Here is a 12,240-nt window from a genome sequence, read left to right on the forward strand (position 1 = left end):
GAACTGCATGAAATAAATCATTTGGCAAAGTCCTGAAAGGCATAATATGTCATTTCTGTTGGTTGATGTAATTAGAATTTGTAGCTTAATCCAAAATAACCAAAAGTTAATAGATTAGAATAGAAAAAAAAAAAAAACTAGTGCCAAGATATCATCTTCTTTACATGAGAAGTAAAAACAACATCTAGAATAATTGGTGCTTGGTTTCCTGTTTTAGGACTCAGGAGGTGAACCTGAAGAAAATGAGGAAAAAATAGTGAACCTGGAACTGGTTTTTGGTTTTCACTTGAAACCAGGAACTGGCCCACAGGTAAATCACATTTTAAATCCTTTGGATAAATCTCAATCGAACTACTCTTTTTTCTCTTCTGTAACTCCATGGTTTTATACACCCCCTACCAGCTGGTAACTGGATTTTGAGTAAATTTATAGACTTTATAAAATAGAATTTAGCTGAAAGGCTGCCAGCTGCCTCTGTAATCCAGTCTAGGAATCTTACTTTCTCAGTCAGCTGAAGACGCCCATGTGAGGCCACCCAAACATCAGGGTAACTCACAGTAAAGTATGGACAGGGAAGGGGGGCCGTGGATACCAGACTGTGTATACCACTCATGTCACAGCTTCCTGCTGATTCATAAGAGAAAGCAGCTTTATAATACCAAGAATAAAAACTAAGAATGAAACTGTAGGCCATGTGGAGACCCAAATTATCAGCTCTAAATAGGGTGGCAGGGCATTTGAGCAACACTTCTTCAATAAGCCTCTCAGTTTATGTCATTTTGAAAGTCTGCAAAAATTATTTGGCCTAGGTAGCCTGTGAATTAGAATTATAGTAGGTTTGTGTTACTTTTGATTACTATAAATAGCTAATGATAATAATGATAACTTCTGTTAACTGACCACTTATTGTGTACCAGGCATACAGTACTGAAGTGTGAAAACTACTTTCCCCCATTTTGCAAATGAGGAAACTGAGGCTCAGACAGGTTAAATAACTTGCCCAAGGGTTACATGGCTAGCAAATAGCAGAATAAAGATTTGAATGCAGGTTGCTCTGGTCTCAGAACCGAAGTTCTTAACTACTCATAATGTGGAAGCCTTCCCTTGAGGGAAGCCAAGGGACCTTATAAATACACCTTACAAGCTGTGTAAGCCTACCGATTGCTCTGGTAGGCTCAGCTGGCCCTGGCCTTTCCTCAGTGAAACCATGCTTGCTCCAGGCCATTCCTGGGAACCAGTGCCTGGGAATGACTGGAAATTGTTGTGAGGGGTTGAGTTTTTCCTGGGCCTTCCAAAGATGCTCTTTCTAATAATCCAGTTAAAAATGGGCAAAAGATCTGCATAGGGATTTCTCAAAAGAAGACATACAAATGGCCAACAGGTATATGGAAAATGGCTCAGCGTCACTAATTATCAGGGAAATGCAAATCAAAACCACAATGAGATATCATCTCACCCCACTTAGAATGGCTTATATCCAAAAGACAGGCAATAATGAATGCTGGTGAGGATGTGGAGAAAGGAGAACCTTCGTACACTGTTGGTGGGAATGTAAATGATCCAGCAATCCCACTCTAGGTATATAACCAAAAGAATGGAAATCAATATATTGAAGAGATATCTGTACTCCTATGTTTATTGCAGCACTGCGCACAAAATCCAACATTTGGAAGCAAACCTAAGTGCCCATCAACAGATGAATAGATAAAGAAAACATGGTACATATACACAATGGCATACCGTTCCCAAACAGAATGAAATCTTGTCATTTGCAACAATATGGATGGAACCGGAGGATATTATGTTAAGTGAAATAAGCCAGTCGCAGAAAGACGGAAGCTAAAAATTAAAACACTTGAACTCATGGAGATAGTAGAATGATGATTACCAGAGGCTTGGAAGCATAGCAGGGGAGGGCAAGAGGATGCTGGGATGGTTAATGGGTGAAAACATAGACAGAATGAATAAGATCTATTATTTGATAGCACAACAGGGTGACTACAGTCAACAATAATTATATGTTTTTAAATAATTAAAAGAGTGGAACTGGGATGTCCGTAACACAAAGAAATGAGGTAATGGATGCCCTCAGTTATCCTAATGTGATTATTACATATTATATGCTTGTATCAAAGCATCACAAAGACTGGGCGCAGTGAATCACACCTGTAGTCCCAGCACTTTGGGAGGCTGAGGCTGGGGGATCGCTTGAGCCTAGGAGTTCGAGACCAGCCTGGGCAACACGGTGGAATCCCATTGCTACAAAAAATACAAAAAGTAGCTGGGTGTAGTCGTGTAAGCCTGTAGTCCTAGCTACTTGGAAAGGCTAAAGTGGGAAGGATCACTTGAGCTCAGGAGGTCAAGCCTGCAGTGAGCCAAAACTGTGCCACTGCACTCTAGCCTGGGCAACAGAGTAAGACATCATCTCAAAAAAAATAAAAAATCACATGTACCCCCAAAATACATACACCTAGTGTATACCCAAAAACATTAAATTTTTTTTTAAAGATGCCCTTTCTAGACATCTATGCAAGAATGTGTCTTGCCTGCACCACTGCAGTTATTTCTTTACCTGCTGAATGAAAATCTTTACCTCCCTTGTTTCGGCCACAGACTTTGGTTGAGTGAGAGCTGCTCTGGATACAGGTTTCTTACATAAGAATAGTTTTCTCTCTGTGAATGGATCACTGTCTATTCATTCCTGTTGTTAGAAGGAGCTACAGAAAGGGGACAGGAAAGTAAGTTCTTCTGTCTCCAACAATATCAGAAGCACTTCTAACCCTGAGATTCTGCAGCTGTGGCCACCCCTAAGTTCATCTGATGGTAAACAAATTGCACATTTCAATTGCCTTTTCTGGTTTTCTTGATTCCATGACATTGAATTTATGAGTTATCTTTAAGCTTTGTTATGGCTTGTAGGTGGTAAAAGAAGAGAGAAAAAATTTCCTTGGAAAAGATTTGTGAACAGAGATCTCAACCAAGAAAAAAAAATTTTTTTTTTTTTTTGAGACGGAGTTTTGCTCTTGTTGCCCAGGATGGAGTACAATGGCGCGATCTCGGCTCACTGCAACCTCCGACTCCCTGGTTCAAGTGATTCTCCTGCCTCAGAAGTACCTGGGATTACAGTCGCGTGCCAACACACCCAGCTAATTTTGTATTTTTAGTAGAGACAGGGTTTCTCCATGTTGGCCAGGCTGGTCTCGAACTCCCGACCTCAGGTGATCCGCCCACCTCGGCCTCCCAAAGTGCGGGATTACAGGCGTGAGCAACTGCGCCTGGCCAAGAAAATATTTTCAATTAAAAAAGAAATAATTTATTAATAATGGAAAACTGAAAAATCTATTTTTTAGTAAAAATAAGGAGCTATGGATAATATTTGAAACTGAATACAATGGTCTGTTTTTGGTAATAATGATGTAGACTTCTTGAGTCATAGATTATCTACAAGCCCTAAAGTTGCTGCAGGTTTTGATCCTCTGCTGTTCCTTGGTCACCCATCCAGAGTAATCTTTCTTTTTTTTTTTTTTTTTTTTTTTTTAAGACAGAGTCTCCTTCTGTTGCCCAGGCTGGAGTGCAGTGGTGCAATCTCGGCTCACTGCAACCTCCGCCTCCCAGGTTCAAGCAATTCTCCTGCCTCAGCCTCCTGAGTAGCTGGGATTATAGGGGCACACCACCACACCCGGCTAATTTTTGTATTTTCAGTACAGACAGGGTTTCACCATGTTGGTCAGGCTGGTCTCGAGCTCCTGACCTCGTGATCCACCCGGCTCGACCTCCCAAAGTGCTGGGATTACAGGCGTGAGCCACCGCGCCCAGCCCAGAGTAATAATTTTATCTATTCATTTGGCAGGCATTTACTGAGGACCTACTTTGTGCCTGGCTCTAAGGTAGATGCTAGATTTTGATACAAAATCAAAAAGTACAATCCCAGCCTTTACAGAACCTACAGCTTATCATAAGCAATAGACAAAATCCACAAAACGCTATGGTACATACAGAATGATGAGTTTTTACAAAGCCATTTACATGGTTCCACGGGAGTTCACTGGATGAGGATCTACAACAGATGGGAAAGGGGTGAGGGAGGGTCCTTGAAGTCTTCTTGGTAGAAGTGTTGCTTAAGCTAAAATGTTAAAGCCACTAAGAATGACTAGGTAAGGAGAGGACATTGAAGGCAGACGAAACCATGTGTGCAAAAGCTCAAAAGCATGAAGCCAGGAAAACACAGGGAGCTCTTTCTTGGAATAATTTTGAGGGGACTTCACGACTCAACTCAAGCATCCTCCCTCTAGAAAGACTTACCTTGGAACAGGGGGATGCCAAAGGGAGTGCCCAGAAAGGGGGCTGGCGACCAGAAAAAGCACTGTCTTATGTGCTAAGCCAAGGAGTTTTAAGGATTTTAAGAAGAGAGCAGATAGGATCAGATTTATGTTTTTTTGTTTGTTTTTTGAGACGGAATCTCGCTCTTTCGCCCAGGCCAGAGTGCAGTGGCGCTATCTCGGCTCACTGCAAGCTCCGCCTCCCGGGTTCACGCCATTTTCCTGCCTCAGCCTCCCGAATAGCTGGGACTACAACTACAGGCTCCCGCCACCACGCCCGGCTAATTTTTGGTATTTTTAGTAGAGACGGGGTTTCACCGTGTTAGTAGCCAGGATGGTCTCGATCTCCTGATCTCGTGATCCGCCCGCCTCGGCCTCCCAAAGTGCTGGGATTACAGGCGTGAGTCACTGCGCCCGGCCCAGATTTACGTTTTTAACAGATCTTTCAGAAGCACAGAGAAGGATGAATTGGAAAGGGGCCGCCAGGCTAGAGTGAGAAAGATCTGTGAGTGGGCAGCGCAGACAACCAGGTGAAAAATGTCAAAGCGCTGAGCCTGTGACAGTGCCATGGGTCCCAGGACACACTGAAACGGAATTAGATTGTGTCACTAGCTGGAGACGCAGCAAGTGGGAGGGAGGGGCCAGGAGGGTGCTGAGGTTTCTAGTGTGGGCAACTAGAGAGATGATGTTATAAAGTGGTGGATCAAAAGTGAAATATACAATGTGAATATCATGCTAAGGTGCTAAAAGTATAAAGAAGTGACTGGAATGGGTGAGGTTCATCAGGAAAAGCTTTTTTGGAACCATGAGTATTTTATTGGGGCTTGAAGAGGTTGGTGGGCAGTTGCAGAATAATTTCCTGAATATAATGCTTAAAGCTTTTGCTTAGATAATACATTTCTAAAGAGCTCAGGTATTCAATAAATGTCATCTCCTTTATCCCGTTAGCATTTGGGTGAGATGCATAACTCATAGTATCATCGTTGCTGATTCAGAAAGAGATAACAAGAGAAAGTGTATGACTTGCCTGGGATGAGGCAAGGACAGAGCTAAGACCAGAAATTACATCTTTATTATTGTCTTTGTAGTAAATATGTGCTAGATCTCACACCTGACCCACAACATTTAAGCCATCTGTAAACCTATATAAAACAGTCCTAGAATAAATTACTATCCTGTTCTGAATTATACCAGCTATGCCAGCCTATGTCTTAGCATTATGAAATATTTTCTGATTAATGTGCTTTGAATTGAAATTTCAGTTCCCCACACGAAAACCTTGTTGCCTTGGGCCTTAAAGATAGAACCCAAGAAAAAAAGGCTTCCTCCACATCCCAATTAACCAAGTTCTCAGAAACCCTCTTCATGGGAAAGGTGAAGCCTTTAAGTCCACCCCCACCTCCATGACCGGAATAAGCTTTCCAAGAGAAAATTGGAGCTTTGCAAGTTCTCTCCAACCTAGGAGTTTGCATAGCAGAGGCATTTGCTGGATTTCACCTTTTCTTTTACAAGTAAAATGAAAAATGTGTTGTAATGGCAGCCATTGAGAATAAGGTATGACAGTGACTTTATCATGAAAATAGTAGCTACATTTTCCCTTTGCATTTGAGAAGGACCACCCACTAACTACCCCTTAAAATTATGTCATTTCCACAACTTGAAGCCTACTAAGAGCAAGCCAGGAAAATATTACCTTATACACAAATAGGTAAAGGAAAAACCCTGTCCACCTTTGTCCTAAGAATTCAGATCAAGTTATTTTTCTTAGCTTCATTTTACAAGCAGATGGATGATGGCACAAAGCGAGGTTGATCTGCAGAACCCTGGAAGGTGATCTGTGTTTGAGTGCCTGCCCTGCTATCATAATCAGGAGTGGCTGCAGGGCCATCTTGCCCATGCGCTTAGTCTTCACAGCCACATCCCTCCAAAGAGCCAGGACCTGACCAGGCTCCAGCCCCATTGATGCTTACAAGAATTCTCCCACAAGTGAAATGTGCTTTTTCTGAAACAACCTAGCAGGGAAAACATCATGATTAGACCAAAGGCTTCACTGGCAATTTAAATTAATAAGCGAAACAGGTTTTACCCCCATTTACTTGACCTGCTCCTAAGTAGTAAAGTTAATTATTAATTTAAATGACATAGGCCAGACACAGTGGCTCATGCCTGTAATCCCAGCACTTTGGGAGGCCAAGACGGGCAGATCACTTGAGGTTAGGAGTTCGAGGCCAGCCTGGCCAACATGGTGAAACCCCATCTCTACTAAAAGTATAAAAATTAGCTGGGTGTGGTGGCCTGCGCCTGTAGTCCCAGCTACTTGGGAGGCTGGGGCAGAAGAATCGCTTAAACCCAGGAGGCAAGGTTGCAGTGAGCCAGGATCGCACCACTGCACTCCAGCCTGGGCAACAGAGCAAGACTCATCTCAAATAATAATAGTAATTTAGATGACATCATATGTGGAGACAACCTGGAAGTTACGACAATCAAACTGGCAGAAATTGTGTCTTTCTCTGCTTGAATGTTTCCCATGCTAGGGATAATTATTATTCCTTCGTACTTCTGGTGAGCACTTTGCAAAGGGCATATTTGTGTAATTGTTTCAACTCAACATGACAGGGAACATTATCTCTGTATCATCCTCTTCATGAGGAAACTGAGGCACAGAGGTGAAACTCCTCACCAGAGGCTCCAACCTAGTAAGGGGCAAATTCAGTCTAAAGGTCTAACTACTGTGTCACACTGCCTCATTTTGGAAGATACCATTGTCCTCCAAAATAAGGATATTGGTAATGAAAAGGCATTTGGGGGTCAGTTAATTCTACCTTACCACTATTTTTGTTTTTGCAATCAAAGTGCCCTGTGTTTTACAATCTAAGGCCTTTGACTTGGCACAAAAGGAAAGCGGCTTCCAGAATCTCAGGCGACTTCATGCGCTCCCCAGGGTGGCAACCACCCCTTTTTATTAAAATATTCGGCTGCCTAGATTTTATTATTATATCTCTTATCAGCTCACCACGCAGGAATATTGATTCTCAAATTGCCAAGAGATAAACTATCAAATCACCCAGCAGTTTTCTCACCAAGATCTTTTTGAGACTTCGTGTGTCATAAAAATTCAAAAGCAGAATTAGGAAGGAACTCTTTGGGGAGTCGTCCATTCCTTACAAATGCTCAACCGCCACAGACTTTGTTCCTTGCATCCTTATTTCCTCCTCTCCCCAATAAGGCAAAGGAAACCTGATTGAAGCTGGGTTCCCATGGGTCTAAACTGATAACCTGACATAGATAAGAGACTGAGGTTAGGGGAAAAGTAACGGAAACAGCACGCTGCCCCTCCCAACTCTCCGAACACGCCGGCTACCTATGAGTGGGTCCTTAAATAAAGACCAGGCTTCCAGACTGGAGCCACTCCTTCCCAGATGACCATCACTTCCAATTTCCTATTTCAAAGGGGCAAGAAAAGTAGGAAGAGTAAATGAGAGGAACCTTTGGAAGAGGTAGAAGCAGAATTACTGATGCCCACAAAGTGGAAGCTTATCAATAGAGGACTTTCCTGCCCAGCCAACTCCCTCTCCTGCCTTCCACCCTTGCCATTGTTAACACCTGGCCTCTTCTCCCACTCCGCAGTGGAAGAAATTCAATCAATAGTTCTGCTTTTCCAGCCATGTCATCTATAGGTTAAAAATTCGGCTTTTTACAAATGCTTCCCACTTGTATTGTGCTTTTAAGTCCTTATTACATTGCTTATAAAATGTTGCTTTTAATAAACTTAGTTGAATCTCCAGGCCCTTTCTCAGAGCACTATAAATATCAAAAACTGTCAAATAGGGCTTTTTTTTTTCCCTATTGTGCAATCTTTATAAATGGATAGATAAACATGAATAAAATAACAGGGCACAAAGAAAAGGATTTTGTAAGTATAAAGCCAACACTTTTTGGAAATTTCAGAAGAGCAGAAAGCAGCACTTTACTTTGATGTATCTTGCGTTTATTAAAAATTAAGTGAAGGGAAGTTTATTTCCATGATCAACTATTTTTTGAGAGAAAAACATACATGTATGCACACATGAATTTGTGTCCCTAAGTATCTAAGATGAATAAGTTCTAGAGATCTACTGTACAGCATAGTATCTACAATTAACAGCAGGTTGTTATATACTTAAAATTTGCAAATTTGATCTCATGTTAAGCATTCTTATAAAAATAATAACTAATAAATAAGAGGGCAGGAGGAAACTTTTGGAAGTGATAGATAAATGTTTATGGCATAGGTTGTGGTGATGGTCTCATAGGTGCATACATTACCTACCTGTTCTTGAGTTCTCATGCAACAGAAATTAACATGAGGGTGAGAAAGTTTCCCAGACACGGCTTTACTGGGGCCTATGCTCAAGTCCAAGGGAGACAGCATGGGAGCAAGAGTTCTCTGACTGGCTCTCTGAGGGCAGGTCTTGCAGTGTTTTAAGAAGGGTGACATGAATAAGCATGAGGTAAGCGAAAGTCATTACATGTGCAGGACAGAGCACAGGGTGTGCAGGCGAAGTGAGAAATCATGTTAATACATGCATCGCATGATCAAAAAATGGCAGATAAGCTCCTGGGGCGGGGATTTTAGTAGTATAATGAGGCAAGAGGTTAGGATGGGTCATTTTCTTGGTTTTGTGTGCATGCGGGTGACAGGGTTAACTCCCTTGAGATTGATGGTGGAATGCTGCTTCTCAGTTTCGTCACACATTTTACAAGTTCTCACGGTCAGTGAGGATGTATGGAAAAAAATATACTAGTTGGGAGGGTAGGGTTGAGCCCCGTCCCTACCCTGTCTTATATATGTATCTCCAAACTCATCAGGTTATATACATTAAATAGGTAGAGCTTTTCATATATCAGTCATATCTCAATAAAGTGGTTTTTTAAAAATGAGAAAGAAACACAAGTTTTAATTGAGCAAAGAAGCAAATGCAGTTCAGAATTTTACAACTGCATAAGTCACTGCTGATTTCTAATTACAGAGTGTGGCAATGTACTTTGTCAAATGGGTTGGACAGCCACCTATAGAGCTAGAGAGCTAGAGCAGAACTAGGCGAGGTGCTCAGTGCATACCTGCTGAATGGATTGACAGTCCTGCATACAAGCTAGCATGCCAGGAAGTGTCTAACAATGGGAGAAAGCCCTGGTTTGTAGCATGTGTAGATCTCCATGGTGTGAAAAATTCCCACTATGGCCGATTTCAAGTTACCAATCTGGCATCACTGGATTTGAAGTTGGGAATGGCTGTAAGCAATCAGCTCATGAGAGCTGGCTCCAGCACACTATTGGGTCTCTCTTAGTCTTCTTAATCAAGATTACGAATTCCTTTTAAAATAGTGATGTACATGATAAAACATAGGCTCAAATAAATTACAAGCACATTATTGCTGGTTACCAACTATAATAATAAGTGTCTTTAACTCAAAGAGAGCTCCAGTCTCCTAATGAATCCATTGTCAGTTGGCTTAGGTCTCTGGATCACCATTGTCTCATTTTGTCATATTGTCTCATACTGACCATAATGCATAAATCAAAAATTGGGATTCAATTTTGTAAAAAGTAAGAATATAGTTTGGAAACAGAAAAACAAAATGTAAGTTTGTGACTGTCTTTAAAAAACGTGGAAACAGTCATAGTTGTGACTCCTTGATGACAGGCACAGTTGTCTATAGGAGAGAGATCTTTGCTTTTAGAAGAAAGTTTTCAAAAGCTTCTGAGGATCACTGCAAGTTCTGCAGCTAGAGACCTCAGTACTCACAGTGGCTTCTGTTTTCTAAACCAAAAATTAGGTGTTGAGAATAATCAGCTATAAAAGAGACAGACTATTTGAAGTAAAATTAAAAAGCACTATGTTGGAAAATCAAGGATGTAGGACAACCGTATCAATCCTGGACATTAGGATTTGAATCGATAATAGCTCAACTGGTAAACAATGCCTACTAACTAGGTTAGTGTTTCTTTGAAAATCATATTTCTTCGAGTCACCCCTAAAGTCATGGGGTGGGAGGAGAAGAACCTAGGAGGTAGAACAGCTGTTTTTATATTTTGAGGATCCTGGATAAAACTTTATTTGCAGTAGATGTCCCAGTATTTAAAAATGTTAAAGCAGTGCTTAGGCAAGCGAGATCAACTTCTATATTCGTTAAGAAACCCACTCTGACATAGAATAGATTCTTAATTATTCAGAAATCAATAGCAAGACTTACTATTATTTTTTTCCATCATGAAGACCTAGTACTTTCCAATTTCAAATACAGTTAAGGGGAAAAAAGCCCTTTCCAAACATGTCAACTAACATCTGAACCATTTTAGACAGTCAAGTGTGTAATGCATCATATGAAAGTATGTCTCACTTGATTTGTTTCACTTTATTTTAACATCATCCTTAAAGCCCCTTTTTCATACATAACTCAAATAACAACCCCCCAAAAGGCAATATAACAACCTTATCTCCACCGGTGTCTACTTGGCACCAGTCTGCCCTGACCTTAGACACAAGCCATTGTTAAGGGTATAACGCATTTACATATTTTGCAATAAAACATCAGTTATTTGCATTACTGTGTCAAGTTTTATTTGATTCTTTCACCTAAAAATGACTCATTTTCCTTTCTTGTATTTTAAAAACCAACTACTCTAAGCTTGTTTGAGAATAATCAAAAATTGCCCATTTAGCTAGAAGTCATTTTCTTTTCAAAAGGCAAATGTTATTTAATCTTTCAGCTGTTCATTGTGCCATCATAAATACTTTCTTTTCAGCACAGTTGTGGGGACTGAAATGAGCCCACTAATTGCCTCCCATTTCGACTGACATGTGGTGGTTTAGTGGAAAGAGAACACAGCAGGGAGAAGGAAATAGGAGGCTGAGAAAATGAGAGCTAATTATTTTCACTGCCTCATGTCAGGCTCTGTGTCAGCCTTGTTTTTACAAACTGGAAGGTTTAGCACTAAATAAAACAAACTGGCGTCATGTTTTTATATACTGGCAGTGTCATGGAAGCAGCTGCACATCTCAAAGACAATATAATGCCTGCGTTCGCATGGACACCATCTGACAGACACTGTGAGCCACGGCTAATGAGGATATCACAGTGGTGCCAAGTGAAAGGTGCTGAATTATGTATGATTCTTCATCAGTACAGCAATAGTCCTGTACATCATTATGAGACATTGTTTTGCTGAAGAGATTAAAACATTCTTAGTTCCAGACCCTGCAACCTATACGCGCTGAAAGAGGTTATTAATGGAATTTTTAGGGAGAGTTTCTTGTGGATTTCTTTTTGGTTAAAAAAAAACAAATCTCATGGGACAAAGCCATGGTGGGTCATGACACTGTATAGATAAAGAAGAGAAGCAAATTAACCATACTTGTATTATCTTTTTTTAAAGGCAGCATAATAAAATATAGTGTAGCAGGGTTATACTTAATGATAAATAACCCAGGTGCTATCACGGGATGTTCCACTCTCCTGCCTTTAAAACTGCAGGTTTCAGCAGCTGAGCTAGATAATAGCAACGCATATAAAGGAGCCTTCAGAGGCCTAAATTGTCAACATCTTACTACTTTTAATACCAGCATGAACAAAATTTTTATCGTATTCTTATTTCATCTTGCATTACTTCATAGATGCCACAACAGTCAGTTGTGACTCTTGTGGCTCTTCCAGTCTTCCCTTGAATCTTAAAAAGTTTATTCTGACCTCTGTATTTTATATTTTAAATTGCTTCCTCAAGACAGGCCTTTTTTGCTGAAACCCTGAGCATTCTTGGTTGATTTTACTTTTTCTCCATTCATGGTTTTGGGGAGTGGTGGTGGATTTTGAAAATTAACCTCTCAGCTTAGATTTGGCATGCGTGGACTTGAATTCTTATCCTACAAAGCCAAATGACCTGG

At 40.8% G+C, this 12,240-nt stretch overlaps 1 protein-coding gene and 1 long non-coding RNA gene across 5 annotated transcripts in view, besides 1 other annotated feature; one reads left to right on the forward strand and one right to left on the reverse strand.

The window, feature by feature from the left end:
• Positions 1-12,240, forward strand: part of MAP3K20 (mitogen-activated protein kinase kinase kinase 20) — a 192,499-nt gene that overhangs the window by 163,670 nt on the left and 16,589 nt on the right. For all 4 annotated transcript variants that reach the window (XM_047444746.1, NM_016653.3, XM_047444747.1 and 1 more), the window contains exon 16: positions 218-310. In XM_047444746.1, the coding sequence (XP_047300702.1) occupies positions 218-310 (93 nt within the window). The remainder of the gene's footprint in view (positions 1-217; positions 311-12,240) is intronic.
• Positions 1-12,240, reverse strand: part of MAP3K20-AS1 (MAP3K20 antisense RNA 1) — an 84,325-nt gene that overhangs the window by 41,475 nt on the left and 30,610 nt on the right. The gene's annotated exons all lie outside the window — the stretch shown is intronic.
• Positions 10,457-12,019: an enhancer, noted in NCBI's record as "VISTA enhancer hs242". NCBI's record gives its function as "enhancer in: neural tube[6/8] | midbrain (mesencephalon)[6/8] | forebrain[6/8]" and the evidence as "EXISTENCE:transgenic organism evidence [ECO:0001131][PMID:17130149]".

Source organism: Homo sapiens, chromosome 2, assembly GCF_000001405.40.
Source record: "Homo sapiens chromosome 2, GRCh38.p14 Primary Assembly".
NCBI lineage: Eukaryota > Metazoa > Chordata > Mammalia > Primates > Hominidae > Homo > Homo sapiens.